Here is a 19,762-nt window from a genome sequence, read left to right as displayed (position 1 = left end):
AGTCCCAGCTACTGGGGAGGCTAAGGTGGGGGAATTGCTTGAAGCCTGGGAGGCAGAGGTTGCAGTGAGTCGAGATCGTGCCACTGCACTCCAGCCTAGGCAACAGAGTGAGACACTGTCAAAAAAAAAAAAAAGTGAATTGCATATGGTTAATATGATGTTATAGCTTCATAAAAGGAAGTCTTCCCTGGGTGGATAGGTCAGTGTGTGTGTGTCTGTGTGTGTGTGTGTGTGTGTGTGTGTGTGTACACATATGTGTAGTCAGTACACTATAATGAATAGTAATAGTCTGAACTGACAAAGAAATGTTTATTGCAGCTTTATTTACAATAGTAAAACAAATAACATATATAACCAACAGTAGAAAAATAAATTATATGACCATCTAAAATAGTTATATGTTATGATTTTTTAAAATATAATGTTAAAGTGAAAAATACTAGTGTGCTAACAAATATGTTAAGATGCATTTTTAAAAGTGAAATATTCAAAATGTTCACAGTATTTGCCTCTGGGAGATGGAATTATAAAAGACTTTGTTTTTTAAAATAACTACATACAGCCACCAAAACAATTGTAATGTCTACTAACTGTAGACAAAATTTATAAAGAATAAATAAATAAGAAGAATATTTTCAAATTGAGTCTAGTTGAGGATACTAATGAAAACTGTATGAACAACTACAAGCATCTAAAACAACTACAAAATTAAAATATTACAGTGGGAGGTACAATTTCAAAGTGAGAATCAACTTAAGTATCAGTGAAGCCCCCTACTCCCACACTCCCCAAGGTAATCTCTGAGAAACAAAAATAAAAGAAAAATGATATTCAATCTAGAGAAAGAAATGACAAAAAACAGACTAAACACAAGGAAAAGTAAGCCAATTATTAGGTTAGCACATCTCAGTTTGTTCTCTTTTATTTTTATTCTGCCTCAATATCATTCACAAACACAACATAACCCCATCATTTACATCTCTCATTTTCTATAATGATTCTTGGAAGGGATAAACATAATCCTAGAAGAAAAGTGTTTACGGTTTCAAAATGTACCCCAGATCACAATTTAGGTTACGGCAAGTTCGCCAAATAGGGGCATATAAGCTCTACTTCTCCCAATTTAGTAAAGACATACACTAGGGAATTTCTGGTTTGAACTAGAGTCCATTTGGAAAAGTTATCAGAAATTAATTTGTCTCTTTGATATCTTATCTTCTCAGCAAAGTATTACTGGTATGACACCATCAAGGAGAGCTTTCTTTATCCTTAGTCTTGGAACAGGCCCCCAGTTATGCTCCCATATTTCCCTCTACTACTATTACAACATACATCATTCTTTTCTTGCTTCTACCATTTAATGTCTGCTATCAACTAATTTTAAACTGTAAGAGTTGTAGAATAAAGGAAGTAAAATGGTATCTATGCAGATAACTGGGCAGGAAAGCTTTCAGGCACTGGAAGAAAGTATTACCTTGAAAGGTTAAATACCTGTTATGTTCAAGGAATAAAAACATGGTTTGTGTTGCTGGAGTGAATAAGAAAAGAAGGCAAAGATGAGATCAGAGAGGTAATGTAGAGTCGGAACATGTAGAGTCCCACAGGTTGTAGTAAGAACTTAGGTTTTTTATTTTTAATGGTCTGGGAAACCACTGGAGGGACTTGAAGAGAGCAGTGATCTGATTTGACTCACAAAGTTTTGGCAATAATATCCTGGCACCTATGTCAAAAGGCTTAAGATCAGAACAAAGAAACTGGCAAGTTACTGCAATAATCCAGGTAATATGTGATAGTGGCCTGGACAGAATGGTGACAGCAAGGGTGGTGGGAAGTAGTCGAATTCTGCACCTGTACTGAAAACATAAAAGGCAATAGCTTTGTTTTGAACACGTTCAGTATGAGATGCCCATTAGGAATCCAAGTGAAGAGATATTAAGTAGGCAATTAGATATACTCTTTCCTAGAGTATACAGAAGAGATCCAAGGTAGATAAACAAATTTACAAATTTGGGAATCATCAGCCTATAGACACAGGTAGAGCATACAAATCAAAAAATCTGAAATGCTCCAAAATCCAAAACATTTTTGAGCACCAGTATGATGCTCAAAGGAAATGCTCATTGGAGCATTTCAGATTTCAATTTTTCAGATTTGGGATGCTCAGCCAGTAAATGTAATGCAAATATTCCAAAATCTCAAAAGCTAAAAATGTGAAGCACTTCAGGTTTCAGGTTCCAAGCACTTCAGATAAGGGATATTGAACCTGCAGTGTAACTTTGAAAGTCAAGGTGATTAGATGAAATCACCTAGGGTGTGAGGATAAACAGAAAAAAAAGGAGAGATCCTAAGAGTGAGGCCTGGAACATTTTCACACTTTACAGGACATGGAGACTGGGGAGGACCACAAAGAAATTAAAAAGGGACAGCTAAAAACTGAAGGAAGAAAGCCACCCAATTATAGTACAATGGAAGCCAAGAGGGGAAAAAAATGTTTCAAGCAACAGAAAAAAAATGTTCCAAGCAACAGAAAGTCATCAATGGGGGAAAAAGAGAAAACAATTAATTAGTATTAATAACAATTAACAAGTATTAATAAAGTACAGTGTTTCAAATCATTTTAGCAATGGAACGTGCTTTAGAAACAAAAAACACAGTGGGCAATGTCACCCCATAAAACAAAAAGGCAGCACTGCTCTAGCTGAAGTGGAAGACTGTATCTTCCTGCTTGCTATCATCTAGGTCCTTGGGAAAACACAAAGGCAACACAAAACACACACTGAAAACCACTGTTACAAAGCATCATTTAAAAATATGTGTTTAAGTTTTAAGGTAATTAATTTCATGTTAATTATAGACATTCGATTTTCACAGTGATTTTTTAGAAAAGTAAGATCAGAAGTAAAAATCCAGTAATTCTAGAGGGATAATATGAACTGTGTATTATTTAACCTCTCTAAGCCTCACTTGCCTCAACTACTATCATTAAATGAGAATAACACTATATAAACTACATTATTTATTAAAATAATTTAGCACACTACACAAAACATATGAAGAATTCAGTAAAGGTTTTTTTTTTTTTTTTTTTTTTTTTTGAGACGTTGTCTCCCCCTGTCGCCTGGCTGGAGTGCAATGGTGCGATCTTGGCTCACTGCGACCTCCGCCTCCCAGGTTCAAGTGATTCTCCTGCCTCAGCCTCCCAAGTAGCTGGGACTACAGGCATGAACCACCATGCTCAGCTAACTTTTTGTATTTTTAGTAGAAACAGGGTTTCATCATGTTGGCCAGGATGGTCTCGATCTCTTGACCTTGTGATTCGCCCGCCTCAGCCTCCCAAAGTGCTGGGATTACAGGCATGAGCCACCATGCCCGGCCAATAAAGGTATTTTTTTTAATTAGTAGATTAAATTATTGCTGCTGAGTCAGTTAGCACACCTAAATACTTGGGTAAACCTTCTTGAAAGGCTCCTAAAACAACTGTAAAGTAAAAGACTACTGAACAGAAACACACAAAATAAACAGAGAAAAATCCTGGAAAATATTGATCCTAAAGCCCTCCTCAGCAATCCCCTTTGTATTTGTGAAGATTTGCCGAAAAATAATGTACAAATTTTACAATGAAAGTCTGCCATACTTGACAAAATAATTTCTTGTAATAGCAGGCCGAGGAATTCCATTCCAGTTTTGAGACTATACTCCTAGTATGTTTCACAGAAGCTGTCTGAATGCCAATTTATAAAAATAATACCCTATAGAGTAAGTTTGTATCTATATTTTAAGTGATTCAGCTCTAATTACCATAAAGAAAATTCAAAAAATTTTAAATGTTATCAAATTGAACCATCCTTCACTTCTAAATTTTGAGGAAACACATGTAAAAGGAAGTAAAAATTAAATGCTGAAATTTGAAAAAATCTGAATTCTATATATGTTCATAAGTTCATACATAAACATTTACATCTTTATTACAGAATAAAAGCATACTTTTTGATATGATATACTTTCAGCTGTGTGAACATCTTCCTGATTTCTCAGTACTTTTTGTGTGTCCATATTGAGAACCTGAAGCTGCTGGATCAGCTCTGCTTGCTGGGCTGTATGTGTACTGTTCTGTTTGTAAAGATTCTGCAGCTCCTGCAGTTCCTTCCTGTGCAAAGCAAGCAATAAATAGAGAAAAGTATGGATAAAGATCATCTCAGTTAAATAATTGTGTTCATCTAAGGTTACAGATTGGCATCCTGTTTTGCATCTGTTATTTGTACTGCAGGCAAACTTATTAATAAAAGAAATAATGACATATTTAATATTTATCACATACACACAGAAAGTATTGATACAACGACTATGACTTTCAAAGCCAGATACATATTAATTTTCTTTTGTAGCTTTATAGTAATAAAAACCATGGATATACATAGTACAACCTTTTATTTAAGTAAACACTTCAGTTTCAAGAATTAACAAGTGGTAAGATCAGCTATAGTTATTAGACAGTTTTGAACAAAGGGTACGTCAACCTTTCATTTTATATTACTATACAGAACTTTAAATATATTAAAAAGAATCCCAAAGGGCAAACTTAAGTTTTCAAACCAAAGTTCCTTAAAGCACAACTGCCAATTCTAGTTTGTAACCTCAGGGTCCTGGGCTGGGATACTTGTGACTCCTCTAACTCAGCTTGAAGGAACTGATGAGGTAAAAGAGTCAGAAAGTCACAAGAAAAATCCAGTCCTTCGAACCTACCCAGGATGAAACTGATAAGCAGGAGGACAAATGAACTGGTGGTGGTAATGATGGCACTAAGAGTCTAGGAGAACTACACCTTTGAGATAGAGGTTTCCAGATTGCTGTGGTTGTGAATCCTGTGTGATACAGATTATACAAACTGGGAATTCTTTTGTATAATTAATTTGAACCGAGAAATATTTATAAAGCACTATTACATCAAAATATACTATAAACAGTAGTCTCTTATTATCTATGGGAGAATGGTTTCAAGACCCACTTTGAATATGAAAATTTACAGATGCTCAAGTCCTTATATAAAATGATGTAGTTTTGAATATAATCTATGCACATCCAAATACTTTAAGTCATCTCTAGATTACTTATAATACCTAATACAAAGTACATGCTATGCAAATAATGTTATACTGTATTGTTTAGGGAATAATGACAAGAAAAAAGTCTGTACACGTTCAGTACAGATGCAACCACTCATTTTTCTTCACCTGATATTTTCAATTCATGATTGGTTGAATCCGTGGATATGGAATCCATGGATATGAAAGGCCGATTGTACTTACATAATATTTTGAAGATTGTATTTCTTAATGGAACTTATTTTTACCTATAACTTTAAACTAGTCATTCATTCACATAAAATGTCTTAAAAGAAAGAAGGAATAAAAGAGATACGGAGACAGTTGTTGAACATGGATGAAAATTAGTATGGGAGCAAGGAGTTCCGCTCCTTAGAGATTTAGAACATTAATGTTCTCAAACCACAACCACAACCCCTGCATCCATACAGATACATGGATATACACAATTTTCCTGTAACAATTCAAAAAACTGAAACATGCAGAAAATAGCAGTCAAAAACGGGAAAGGGGAGAGAAGAGAACCAATAATGGCACAATGCCTTCAGGAAATGTAATACAAGAGGAGGGGAAAAAAGACCCACAGTAATCATGCATGATGATTACTGCCATTTTTCACTAATAACATTAGCAAAAATTATCAAAGGAAATACGCAACAGGGCAGGAGAAAATTCCATCACAGTTAAGATACGTTAGCCAGGAGGCCTAAAAAAATGTCACATTTAGAAAAGAGACATGATGAAGATAAAACATATCATCTTTCAATACAGTGTTAAAACATAGCAAATTTATTTATATTCCCATGTTAGAAGACATTTGGTATTTCTTAATGAGAAGGCCCGAATCCGTAGCTGGTCTGCATTTAAGGACAACGTACAACAAAATATATGTATCTTTAGTCAAAAGAAACACACTAGGCAGGGTGCGATGGCTCACACCTGTAATCCCAGCACTTTGGAGGCCGAGGCAGGTGGATCACCTGAGGTAGATGGATCACCTGAGGTCAGGAGTTCGAGACCAGCCTGACCAATAGTGAAACCCCGTCTCTACAAAAATTACAAAAATTGGCTGGGCATGGTAGCATACATCTGTAGTTCCAGCTACTCAGGAGGCTGAGGCAGAGGAATCATTTGATCCTGAGCCGAGATCGCACCACCCCACTCCAACCTGGGTGACAGAGCCAGACTCCATCTAACACACACACACACACACACACACACACACACACACACACACTCTCTCTCTCTCTCTCTCTCTCTCTCTCACTGAAGAGTAGGGAGATGCTCATACTATTATTACTCTTTGCAAATTAAAAATCAACCTGGGAAAAAGCACATTTTTCTCTACCACCTCATGGTATTTTCTGGGCATGCTCTCAATAAGTGGAATTGAAGGATACTCTTATACTATGTAGATATGTTTATTTCTATCGCCCCACACAACCCTCGGGAAAGTACAAGTGATGATATGTACACCAATGTTGCAAATACAAAAAGCAAGCAAAGCTCGCACAACTCACACATCTGAACCAGCGGAAAGCACTGAATTTGTCCAGATCTTTCCTCATTTGAAAATAAGTAAAGAAAAACAGGGCGGGCCAAGATGGCCGACTAGAAACAGCTGTGGTCGGAGGCCCCCCACCAAGAAGAACAAAAACAATGAGTGAATCCTGCACCGGCAACTGAGGTATGCAAGTTCTCTCATTGGGACTGACTAGGCAGCTGGCACAACCCACAGAGAGCAAGGAAAAGCAGGGTGGTGCGACGGCCCACCTGGGAGCCACACAGAGTAATGCGAGCTCCTACCACCAGCCAAGGGAAATGGTGAGTGATCGACCTACTGAGAGGTGCCAGTGTGCTGGCAGCCCTCGCAGTCGTGGCTCGCTCTCCGCGCCACCTTGGCCTCGGCGCCCACTCTGGCGGCGCTTGAGCAGCCCTTCAGCCCGCCGCTGCACCTTGGGAGTCCCCTTCTTGGCTGGCCAAGGCCAGAGCCGGCTCCCTCAGCTTGCAGGGAGGTGTGGAGGGACAGGCGTGGGCGGGAACTGGGGCTGCGTGCAGCGCCTGCGGGCCAGCTAGAGTTCCGGGTGGGCGTGGGCTTGGCGGCCCGCACTCAGAGCGGCCAGCCAGCCCCGCCAGCCCGGCAGTGAGGGGCTTAGCACCCAGGCCAGCAGCCGCGGACAGTGCACCAGGTCCCCCAGCAGTGTTGGCCCACCGGCGCTGCTCTCAATTTCTCACCGGGCCTTAGCTGCCTCCCTGTGCGGCAGGGCTGGGGACCTGCAGCCCACCATGCCTGAGCCTCCCCCGCCCTCCCCCCACTCCCCCCCGCCCTCCCCCCACTCCCCACTCCCCCCTCCCCCCACTCCCTCCGCCCTCCTCCCTCCTCCCCGCCCTCCCCCCTCCTCCCCGCCCTCCCCCCTTCGCCCACTCCCCCCCACCCTCCCCCCCTCCCTCCCCTCACTCCCCCCGCGGTGGGCTCCTGCGCAGCCACAGCCTCCCCGACGAGCTCTGCCCCCTGCTCCACGGCAGCCAGTCCCATCCAAGGGCTGAGGAGTGCTGGTGGAGGGCACGGGACTGGCAGGCAGCTCCACCTGTGGCCCCTGTGCGGGATACACTGGGTGAAGCCAGCTGGGCTCCTGAGTCTAGTGGGGACTTGGAGAACCTTTATGTCTAGCTAAGGGATTGTAAACACACCAATCAGCACTCTGTATCTAGCTCAAGGTTTGTGAACACACCAATCAGCACCGTGTGTCTACCTCAGGGTTTGTGGATGCACCAATCAGCACTCTGTATCTAAAGAATCTAGTGGGACTTGGAGAACTTTTGTGTCTAGCTCAGGGATTGTAAACGCACCAATCAGCACCCTGTCAAAATGGACCAATCAGCTCTCTGTAAAACCAATCGGCTCTCTGTAAAATGGACCAATCAGCAGGATGTGGGTGGGGCCAGATAAGACAATAAAAGCAGGCTGCCAGAGCCAGCAGTGGCAACCCCCTTGGGTCCCCTTCCACACTGTGGAAGCTTTGTTCTTTCACTCTTTGCAATAAATCTTGCTGCTGCTCACTCTTTGGATCCACACTGCCTTTATGAGCTGTAACACTCGAAGGTCTGCAGCTTCACTCCTGAAGCCAGCGAGACCACGAATCCACCAGAAGGAAGAAACTCTAAACACATCTGAACATCAGAAGGAACAAACTCCGGACACGCCGCTTTTAAGAACTGTAACACTCACCGCAAGGGTCCGTGGCTTCATTCTTGAAGTCAGTGAGACCAAGAACGCACCAATTCTGGACACACTACTACCCTGCCTGGGAAACCACGCTTTTTCCACGGATCCGTGCTACCCACAGATCAGGAGGTCCCCCAATGAGCCCATGCCACCAGGGCCTTGGGTCCCAAGTGCAGAGCTGTCCAGATTCTCGGCAGCCTCTTGGTGGCCTCTCAGCAGCCAATGGGCTGGTGACTACCTACGACTACCAACTTCCTAATGGAAGGGGAGGTCATCATCACCACCCTGCCTTTTGCCTAAGATGCCTGAGTTCCCGGGGAGTAGGGGCAAGGGGTGGCAGCCATCACTGCAGCTCCAGTCTGCCAATTTTCCCCTGCCAGTGCCAGGAAGACTAGATGGTTTGGACCCAGATGGAATTCCCCACAGCACTCACAGTGGCTATGGCTATGGCAGATCATGGCCAGACTGCCTCTTCAGGCGGAACCCTAACCCATCCCTCCTCACTGGGTGGGACCTTCCTGCAGGAATTTCAGCAACTGCAGCCAGGGGTTTAGGGACAGAACTCTGATGTCGCTGGGACTGAGCCTCTAGTGGGAGAGGCAGCCACAGTATTCACAGATTAGCAGACTTAGACTTTCCCCCTGCCAGCTCTGAGGAATCCAGGCAGTCCAGATGATTGAGATTCGCCACAGCACAGCGCACCCGCTCCGCCAAGGGGCAGCCAGAATGCTTCATTAAGCAGATCCCAGAACCCCTGCCTCCAGACTGGGTGAGACCCCAACAGGGGTTGCCAGATAACTTATACAGGAGCATTCCTGTTGGCATCAGGTTGGTGCCCCTCTGGGACGAAGATCCCAGCCAGAGGAAGTAGCAGGCAGCCATCTTTGCTATTCTGCATCTTCCACTGTTGATACCTGCAGGTGCAGAAGGGACCCAAGTGAATAGGGTCTGGAGTGACCCCCAGCAAACCACAGCAGCCCTCCGGAAGAGGGGCCTGAATGTCAAAAGAAAAACAAACAGAAAGCAACAACAATAACAGCATCAACAAAAAGGTCCTCGCAAACTGAAAGATCAAAGCTAGGTAAACTCACAAAGATGAGAAAGAATCAATGAAAATTCAAAAAGCCAAAGTGCCTCTTCTCCATATGATCATAATACCTCTCTAGGAAGAGCACAGAACTGGGCGGAGGTGGAGATGGATGAACTGACACAAGTAGGCCTCAGAAGGTGGGTAACAATGAACTTAGCTGAGCCAAAGGAACATGTTCTAACCCAATACAAAGAAGCTAAGAACCATGATAAAACATTACAGGAGCTGTTAACCAGAATAATTAGTTTGAAAGGAACATAAATAACCTAATGGAGTTGAAAAACACAACCTGAGAACATCACAATGCAACCATAAGTATCAACAGCCAAACTGACCAAGCAGAGGAAAGAATTTCAGAGCTTAAAGCCTATCTTGCTGAAATAAGACAAGGCAGACAAGACGAGAGAAAAAAGAATGAAAAGAAACAAAACCTCCATGAACTTTGGGATTATGTAAAAAGACCGAACCTATGACTGACTTGGATACCTGAAAGAGATGGGGAGAACAGAACCAAGGTGGAAAACATACCTCAGGATATCATCTAGGAAAACTTCCCTAACCTAACAAGATAGGCCAACATTCAAATTCATGAAATCCAAAGAACCCTCGTAAGATACTCCATGAGATGATCAGCCCTAACACACATAATCATCAAATTCACCAAGGTCAAAATGAAGGGAAAAAAAATGTTAACAGCAGCCAGAGAGAAAGGGGAGATCACCTACAAAGGGAAACCCATTAGACTAACAGCAAACTTCTCAGCAGAAACCCTACAAGCGAGAAGAGATTGGGGGCCATTATTCAATATTCTTAAAGAAAAGGATTTCCAATCCTGAATTTCATTTCCAGTCAAACTAAGCTTCATAAGCTAAGGAAAAATAAAATACTTTTCAGAGAAGCAAATGCTGAGGTAATTAGTCACCACCAGGCCTACCTTGCAAGAGCTCCTGAAGGAAGCACTAAATATAGAAAGGAAAAACCACCACTAGCCACTGCAAAAACACACTGAAGTACAAAGACCAATGAAACTATAAAGCAACTACATCACCAAGTCTGATAACCAGCTACCATCATAACAGGATCAAATTCACAGACAACAATATTAACCTTAAATGTAAATGGGCTAAATGCCCCGATTAAAAGACACAGAATGGCAAGCTGGATAAAGAGTCAAGACTCATCAACGTGCTGGATTTAAGAGACCCATCTCACATGCAAAGACACACATAGGCTCAAAATAAAGGAATGGAGGAAAATATACCAAGCAAATGGAAAGCAGAAAAAAGCAGGGGCTGCAATCCTAGTTTCTGACAAAATAGACTTTAAACCAACAGGGATCAAAAAAGACAAAGAGGGGCATTACATAATGGTAAAGGGTTCAATTCAATGTGAACTGCTAACTATCCTAAATATATATGCACCTAACACAGGAGCACCCAGATTCATAAAACAAGTTCTTAGAGACCTACAAAGACACTTAGACTCCCACACAATAATAGTGGGAGACTTTTAACACCCCACTGTCAATATTAGACAGATCACCAAGACAAAATTAACAAGGATATTCAGGACATGAACTAAGCTCTGGATCAAGTGGACCTGATAAATATCTACAGAACTCTCCACCCAAAAACAATGGAATATATATTCTTCTTGGCGACACATAGCACATAGCACTTACTCTAAAATCAGTCACGTACTTGGGAGTAAAACACTCCTCAGCAAATACAAAAGAACTGAAATCATAACAGTCTCTCAGAAAACAGCGCAATCAAATTATAACTCAAGATAAAGAAACCCACTCAAACCACACAACTACATGGAAACTGAACAACCTGCTCCTGAATGACTCCTGGGTATATAATGAAATTAAGGCAGAAATCAGGGGAGGAGCCAAGATGGCCGAATAGGAACAGCTCCGGTCTACAGCTCCCAGCATGAGCGACACAGAAGACGGGTGATTTCTGCATTTCCATCTGAGGTACCGGGTTTCTCTCACTAGGGAGTGCCAGACAGTGGGCGCAGGCCAGTGGGTGCACGCACCATGCGCGAGCCGAAGCAGGGCGAGGCATTGCCTCACCTGGGAAGCGCGAGGGATCAGGGAGTTCCCTTTCCGAGTCAAAGAAAGGGGTGACAGACGCACCTGGAAAATCGGGTCACTCCCACCCGAATATTGCGCTTTTCAGACCGGCTTAAAAAGCGGCGAACCATGAGATTATATCCCACACCTGGCTCGGAGGGTCCTACGCCCACGGAGTCTCGCTGATTGCTAGCACAGCAGTCTGAGATCAAACTGCAAGGCGGCAGCCAGGCTGGGGGAGGGGCGCCCGCCATTGCCCAGGCTTCCTTAGGTAAACAAAGCAGCCAGGAAGCTCGAACTGGGTGGAGCCCACCACAGCTCAAGGAGGCCTGCCTGCCTCTGTAGGCTCCACCTCTGGGGGCAGGGCACAGACAAACAAAAAGACAGCAGTAACCTCTGCAGACTTAAGTGTCCCTGTCTGACAGCTTTGAAGAGAGCAGTGGTTCTCCCAGCACGCAGCTGGAGATCTGAGAACGGGCAGACTGCCTCCTCAAGTGGGTCCCTGACCCCTGACCCCCGAGCAGCCTAACTGGGAGGCACCCCCCAGCAGGGGCAGACTGACACCTCACATGGCAGGGTATTCCAACAGACCTGCAGCTGAGGGTCCTGTCTGATAGAAGGAAAACTAACAAACAGAAAGGACATCCACACCAAAAACCCATCTGTACATCACCATCATCAAAGACCAAAAGTAGATAAAACCACAAAGATGGGGAAAAAACAGAACAGAAAAACTAGACACTCTTAAATGCAGAGCGCCTCTCCTCCTCCAAAGGAACGCAGTTCCTCACCAGCAACGGAAAAAAGCTGGATGGAGAATGATTCTGACGAGCTGAGAGAAGAAGGCTTCAGACGATCAAATTACTCTGAGCTACGGGAGGACATTCAAACCAAAGGCAAAGAAGTTGAAAACTTTGAAAAAAATTTAGAAGAATGTATACCTAGAATAACCAATACAGAGAAGTGCTTAAAGGAGCTGATGGAGCTGAAAACCAAGGCTCGAGAACTAGGTGAACAATGCAGAAGCCTCAGGAGCCCATGCGATCAACTGGAAGAAAGGGTATCAGCAATGGAAGATGAAATGAATGAAATGAAGTGAGAAGGGAAGGTTAGAGAAAAAAGAATAAAAAGAAATGAGCAAAGCCTCCAAGAAATATGGGACTATGTGAAAAGACCAAATCTACGTCTGATTGGTGTACCTGAAAGTGATGGGGAGAATGGAACCAAGTTGGAAAACACTCTGCAGGATATTATCCAGGAGAACTTCCCCAATCTAGCAAGGCAGGCCAATGTTCAGATTCAGGAAATACAGAGAACGCCACAAAGACACTCCTCCAGAAGAGCAACTCCAAGACACATAATTGTCAGATTCACCAAAGTTGAAATGAAGGAAAAAATGTTAAGGGCAGCCAGAGAGAAAGGTCGGGTTACCCTCAAAGGGAAGCCCATCAGACTAACAGCGGATCTCTCGGCAGAAACCCTACAAGCCAGAAGAGAGTGGGGGCCAATATTCAACATTCTTAAAGAAAAGAATTTTCAACCCAGAATTTCATATCCAGCCAAACTAAGCTTCATAAGTGAAGGAGAAATAAAATACTTCACAGACAAGCAAATGCTGAGAGATTTTGTCACCACTAGGCCTGCCCTAAAAGAGCTCCTGAAGGAAGCGCTAAACATGGAAAGGAACAACTGGTACCAGCCGCTGCAAAATCATGCCAAAATGTAAAGACCATGGAGACTAGGAAGAAACTGCATCAACTAACGAGCAAAATAACCAGCTAACATCATAATGACAGGATCAAATTCACACATAACAATATTAACTTTAAATGTAAATGGACTAAATTCTCCAATTAAAAGACACAGACTGGCAAATTGGATAAAGAGTCAAGACCCATCAGTGTGCTGTATTCAGGAAACCCATCTCACGTGCAGAGACACACATAGGCTCAAAATAAAAGGATGCAGGAAGATCTACCAAGCAAATGGAAAACAAAAAAAGGCAGGGGTTGCAATCCTAGTCTCTTGATAAAACAGACTTTAAACCAACAAAGATCAAAAGAGACAAAGAAGGCCATTACATAATGGTAAAGGGATCAATTCAACAAGAAGAGCTAACTATCCTAAATATATATGCACCCAATACAGGACACCCAGATTCATAAAGCAAGTCCTGAGTGACCTACAAAGAGACTTAGACTCCCACACATTAATAATGGGAGACTTTAACACCCCACTGTCAACATTAGACAGATCAACGAGACAGAAAGTCAACAAAGATACCCAGGAATTGAACTCAGCTCTGCACCAAGTGGACGTAATAGACATCTACAGAACTCTCCACCCCAAATCAACAGAATATACATTTTTTTCAGCACCACACCACACCTATTCCAAAATTGACCACATACTGGGAAGTAAAGTTCTCCTCAGCAAATGTAAAAGAACAGAAATTATAACAAACTATCTCTCAGACCGCAGTGCAATCAAACTAGAACTCAGGATTAAGAATCTCACTCAAAGCCGCTCAACTACATGGAAACTGAACAACCTGCTCCTGAATGACTACTGGGTACATAATGAAATGAAGGCAGCAATAAAGATGTTCTTTGAAACCAACGAGAACAAAGACACAACATACCAGAATCTCTGGGATGCATTCAAAGCAGTGTGTAGAGGGAAATTTATAGCACTAAATGCCCACAAGAGAAAGCAGGAAAGATCCAAAATTGACACCCTAACATCACAATTAAAAGAACTAGAAAAGCAAGACCAAACACATTCAAAAGCTAGCAGAAGGCAAGAAATAACTAACATCAGAGCAGAACTGAAGGAAACAGAGACACAAAAAACCCTTCAAAAAATCAAGGAATCCAGGAGCTGGTTTTTTGAAAGGATCAACAAAATTGATAGACCACTAGCAAGACTAATAAAGAAAAAAAGAGAGAAGAATCAAATAGACACAATAAAAAATGATAAAGGGGATATCACCAGCGATCCCACAGAAATACAAACTACCATCAGAGAATACTACAAACACCTCTACGCAAATAAACTAGAAAATCTAGAAGAAATGGATAAATTCCTCAACACATACACTCTCCCAAGACTAAACCAGGAAGAAGTTGAATCTCTGAATAGACCAATAACAGGAGCTGAAATTGTGGCAATAATCGATAGTTTACCAACCAAAAAGAGTCCAGGACCAGATGGATTCACAGCTGAATTCTACCAGAGGTACAAGGAGGAACTGGTACCATTCCTTCTGAAACTATTCCAATCAATAGAAAAAGAGGGAATCCTCCCAAACTCATTTTATGAGGCCAGCATCATTCTGATACCAAAGCCGGGCAGAGACACAACCAAAAAAGAGAATTTTAGACCAATATCCTTGATGAACATTGATGCAAAAATCCTGAATAAAATACTGGCAAAACGAATCCAGCAGCACATCAAAAAGCTTATCCACCATGATCAAGTGGGCTTCATCCCTGGGATGCAAGGCTGGTTCAATATACGCAAATCAATAAATGTAATCCAGCATATAAACAGAGCCAAAGACAAAAACCACATGATTATCTCAAGAGATGCAGAAAAAGCCTTTGACAAAATTCAGCAACGCTTCATGCTAAAAACTCTCAATAAATTAGGTATTGATGGGACGTATTTCAAAATAATAAGAGCTATCTATGACAAACCCACAGCCAATATCATACTGAATGGGCAAAAACTGGAAGCATTCCCTTTGAAAACTGGCACAAGACAGGGATGCCCTCTCTCACCACTCCTATTCAACATAGTGTTGGAAGTTCTGGCCAGGGCAATTAGGCAGGAGAAGGAAATAAAGGGTATTCAATTAGGAAAAGAGGAAGTCAAATTGTCCCTGTTTGCAGACGACATGATTGTATATCTAGAAAACCCCATTGTTTCAGCCCAAAATCTCCTTAAGCTGATAAGCAACTTCAGCAAAGTCTCAGGATACAAAATCAATGTACAAAAATCACAAGCATTCTTATACACCAACAACAGACAAACAGAGAGCCAAATCATGAGTGAACTCCCATTCACAACTGCTTCAAAGAGAATAAAATACCTAGGAATCCAACTTACAAGGGATGTGAAGGACCTCTTCAAGGAGAACTACAAACCACTGCTCAATGAAATAAAAGAGGATACAAACAAATGGAAGAACATTCCATGCTCATGGGTAGGAAGAATCAATATCGTGAAAATGGCCATACTGCCCAAGGTAATTTATAGATTCAATGCCATCCCCATAAAGCTACCAATGACTTTCCTCACAGAATTGGAAAAAACTACTTTAAAGTTCATATGGAACCAAAAAAGAGCCCGCATCGCCAAGTCAATCCTAAGCCAAAAGAACAAAGCTGGAGGCATCACACTACCTGACTTCAAACTATACTACAAGGCTACAGTAACCAAAACAGCATGGTACTGGTACCAAAACAGAGATATAGATCAATGGAACAGAACAGAGCCCTCAGAAATAACGCCGCATATCTACAACTATCTGATCTTTGACAAACCTGAGAAAAACAAGCAATGGGGAAAGGATTCCCTATTTAATAAGTGGTGCTGGGAAAACTGGCTAGCCATATGTAGAAAGCTGAAACTGGATCCCTTCCTTACACCTTATACAAAAATCAATTCAAGATGGATTAAAGATTTAAACGTTAGACCTAAAACCATAAAAACCCTAGAAGAAAACCTAGGCATTACCATTCAGGACATAGGCATGGGCAAGGACTTCACGTCCAAAACACCAAAAGCAATGGCAACAAAAGACAAAATTGACAAATGGGATCTAATTAAACTAAAGAGCTTCTGCACAGCAAAAGAAACTACCATCAGAGTGAACAGGCAACCTACAAAATGGGAGACAATTTTCGCAACCTACTCATCTGACAAAGGGCTAATATCCAGAATCTACAATGAACTCAAACAAATTTACAAGAAAAAAACAAACAACCCCATCAAAAAGTGGGCGAAGGACATGAACAGACACTTCTCAAAAGAAGACATTTATGCAGCCAAGAAACACATGAAAAAATGCTCATCATCACTGGCCATCAGAGAAATGCAAATCAAAACCACAATGAGATACCATCTCACACCAGTTAGAATGGCAATCATTAAAAAGTCAGGAAACAACAGGTGCTGGAGAGGATGTGGAGAAATAGGAACACTTTTACACTGTTGGTGGGACTGTAAACTAGTTCAACCATTGTGGAAGTCAGTGTGGCGATTCCTCAGGGATCTAGAACTAGAAATACCATTTGACCCAGCCATCCCATTACTTGGTATATACCCAAAGAACTATAAATCATGCTGCTATAAAGACACATGCACACGTATGTTTATTGTGGCATTATTCACAACAGCAAAGACTTGGAACCAACCCAAATGTCCAACAATGATAGACTGGATTAAGAAAATGTGGCACATATACACCATGGAATACTATGCAGCCATAAAAAATGATGAGTTCGTGTCCTTTGTAGGGACATGGATGAAATTGGAAATCATCATTCTCAGTAAACTATCACAAGAACAAAAAACCAAACACGGCATATACTCACTCATAGGTGGGAATTGAACAATGAGATCACATGGACACAGGAAGGGGAATATCACACTCTGGGGACTGTGGTGGGGTGGGGGGAGGGGGGAGGGATAGCATTGGGAGATACACCTAATGCTAGATGACGAGTTAGTGGGTGCAGCGCACCAGCATGGCACATGTATACATATGTAACTAACCTGCACAATGTGCACATGTACCCTAAAACTTAAAGTATAATTAAAAAAAAAAAAAATTAAGGCAGAAATCAAGAAGTTCTTTGAAACCAATGATAACAAAGAGACAACACACAGAGTCTCTGGGATCCAGCTAAAGCAGTGTTAAGAGGGAAATTTATAGCACTAACTGCCCACATCAAAAAGCTAGAAAAATCTCAAGTTGACACCCTAACATCAAAACTAAAAGAAATAGAGAACCAAGAGCAAATAAACCACAACACTAGCAGAAGAAAAGAAATAACCAAGATCAGAGCAGAATTGAAGGAGATACAGACATGAAAAACCCTTCCAAAAAAATCAATGAATCCAGAAGCCGTTTGTTGAAAAAATTAATAAAATGGATAGACTGCAAGCTAGACTAATAAGAAAAGAGAAAAGAATCAAATAGATACAACAAAAAAAGATAAAGGGGATGTCACCACTGACCCCACAGAAATACAAACAACCTTCAGATAATACTATAAATACCTCTATGCAAATAAACTAGAAAATCTAGAAGAAACAGATAAATTCCTAGACACATACACCCTCCCAAAACTGAGCCAGGGAGAAGCTAAATCCCTGAATAGACCAATAACAAGTTCTGAAGGGGCAGTAACAAATACCCTACCAGCCAAAAAAAAGCCCATGACCAGTGGATTTACAGCTGAATTCTATCAGAGGTGCAAACAGGAGCTAGTACCATTCCTTCCGAAACTATTCCAAACAATTGAAAAGGAGGGTCTGCTCCCTAATTCATTTTATGAGGTCAGTATCATCCTGATACCAAACCCTGAGAAAATAAAAACTTCAGGCCAATATCCCTGAACATTGATGCAAAATCCTCAAAAATTAGCGAGGCATACTGGAAGCGCCTGTAATCCCAGCTACTCAGGAGGCTGAGGCAGGAGAAGTGCTTGAATCTGTGAGGTGGAGGTTGCAGTGAGCCAAGGTCACGCCATTGTACTCCAGCCTGGGAAACATGAGCGAAACTCTGTCTCAAAAAAACAAACAAACAAACAAAATCCTCAATAAAATACTGGCAAACTGAATACAGCAGCACATTCAAAAAGCTTATCCACCACGATCAAGTCAGCTTCATTCCCAAGATGCAAGGCTGGTTCAACATACACAAATCAATAAATCTAATTCATCACATAAACAGAACTAAAGACAGCAAACACATGATCATCTCAATAGACACAGAAAAGGCCTTCGATAAAATTCAACATCGCTTCATGTTAAAAATGCTCAATAAACTAGGTATTGATGGAACATACCTCAAAATAATGAGCCATTTATGACAAACCCACAGCCAATATCATACTGAATGGGCAAAAGCTGGAAACATTTCCCTTGAAAACTGGCACAAGACAAGGATGCTGTCTCTCACCACTTCTATTCAACATAGTATTGGAAGTTCTGGCCAGGGCAGTCAGGGAAGACAAAGAAACAAAGGGTATTCAAATGGGAAGAGAGGAAGTCAAACTGTCTCTGTTTGCAGATGACATGATTCTATATCTAGAAAACCCCATCATCACAGCCCAAAAGCTTTCCAAGCTGATATGCAACTTCAGCAAAGTCTCAGTATACAAAATCAACTGCAAAAATCACAAGCATTCCCATACACTAACAATAGACAAGCAGAGAGCCCAATCATGAATGAACTTCCCATTCACAAATGCTAAGAAAAGAATAAAATGCCTAGGAATACAGCTAACAAGAGAAGTGAAAGAGTGAAGGACCTCTTCAAGGAGAACTACAAACCACTGCTCAAAGAAATAAGAGAGGGCAAAAACAAATGAAAAAACATTCCATGCTCATGGATAGAAAGAATCAACATCGTGAAAATGGCCACACTGCCCAAAGTAATTTATAGATTCAATGCTATTCCTATTAAACTACCATTAACATTCTTCACAGATTTAGAAAAAACTACGTTAAAATTAATATGGAACCAAAAAAGAGCCCGTATAGCCAAGACAATCCTAAGCGAAAAGAACAAAGCCAGTGGCATTACACTACCGGACTTCAAACGATACTACAGGGCAACAGTAACCAAAACAACACGGTACTGGTACAAAAACAGACACATGAACCAATAGAACAGAACAGAGATCTCAGAAATAAGACCGCACATCTACAACCATCTGATCTTTGACAAACCTGACAAAAACAAGCAATGGGGAAAGGATTCTCTATTTAATAAATGCTGCTGGGAAAACTGGCTAGCCATAAGGAGAAAACTGAAACTGGACCCCTTCCTTATGCCTTATACAAAAATCAATTCAAGATAGGTTAAAGACTCATTAAATGTAAAACCCAAAAGTACAAAAATCCTAGAAGGAAATCTACTGAAACCATTCAGGATATAGGCCCGGGCAAAGATTTCATGACAAAAACATCAAAAGCAATTGTAACAAAAGCAAAAATGGACAAATGCTATCTAATTAAACTAAAGAGCT

General features: G+C 41.5%; 1 protein-coding gene across 16 annotated transcripts in view, besides 3 other annotated features; it reads right to left on the bottom strand.

Annotated features, from left to right (window-relative positions):
* CNTLN (centlein) overlaps positions 1 to 19,762 on the bottom strand; it is a 393,595-nt gene that overhangs the window by 226,298 nt on the left and 147,535 nt on the right. For 15 of the 16 annotated variants that reach the window (XR_007061321.1, XR_007061322.1, XR_929282.3 and 12 more), the window contains exon 7: positions 3,985 to 4,147. Coding sequence is in view for 13 of the 16 variants with exons in the window: in XM_017014839.2 (XP_016870328.1) it covers positions 3,985 to 4,147 (163 nt within the window). In the remaining 3 variants the exon portion in view is untranslated. Of the gene's footprint in view, positions 1 to 290; positions 4,148 to 19,762 lie in introns of those variants that run through there. The other variant, NM_001114395.3, reaches the window with a different exon arrangement.
* Positions 6,552 to 7,074: an enhancer, noted in NCBI's record as "H3K27ac-H3K4me1 hESC enhancer chr9:17295261-17295783 (GRCh37/hg19 assembly coordinates)". NCBI's record gives its function as "activates a minimal SCP1, AML or CMV promoter by ChIP-STARR-seq in primed H9 embryonic stem cells {active_cell/tissue: H9 hESC(primed)}" and the evidence as "EXISTENCE:reporter gene assay evidence [ECO:0000049][PMID:30033119]".
* Positions 7,075 to 7,597: an enhancer, noted in NCBI's record as "H3K27ac-H3K4me1 hESC enhancer chr9:17294738-17295260 (GRCh37/hg19 assembly coordinates)". NCBI's record gives its function as "activates a minimal SCP1, AML or CMV promoter by ChIP-STARR-seq in primed H9 embryonic stem cells {active_cell/tissue: H9 hESC(primed)}" and the evidence as "EXISTENCE:reporter gene assay evidence [ECO:0000049][PMID:30033119]".
* Positions 11,014 to 11,619: an enhancer, noted in NCBI's record as "NANOG-H3K27ac-H3K4me1 hESC enhancer chr9:17290716-17291321 (GRCh37/hg19 assembly coordinates)". NCBI's record gives its function as "activates a minimal SCP1, AML or CMV promoter by ChIP-STARR-seq in naive H9 embryonic stem cells {active_cell/tissue: H9 hESC(naive)}" and the evidence as "EXISTENCE:reporter gene assay evidence [ECO:0000049][PMID:30033119]".

This window comes from Homo sapiens, chromosome 9 (assembly GCF_000001405.40).
Source record: "Homo sapiens chromosome 9, GRCh38.p14 Primary Assembly".
NCBI lineage: Eukaryota > Metazoa > Chordata > Mammalia > Primates > Hominidae > Homo > Homo sapiens.
This window is presented reverse-complemented; position numbering and strand designations above follow the sequence as displayed.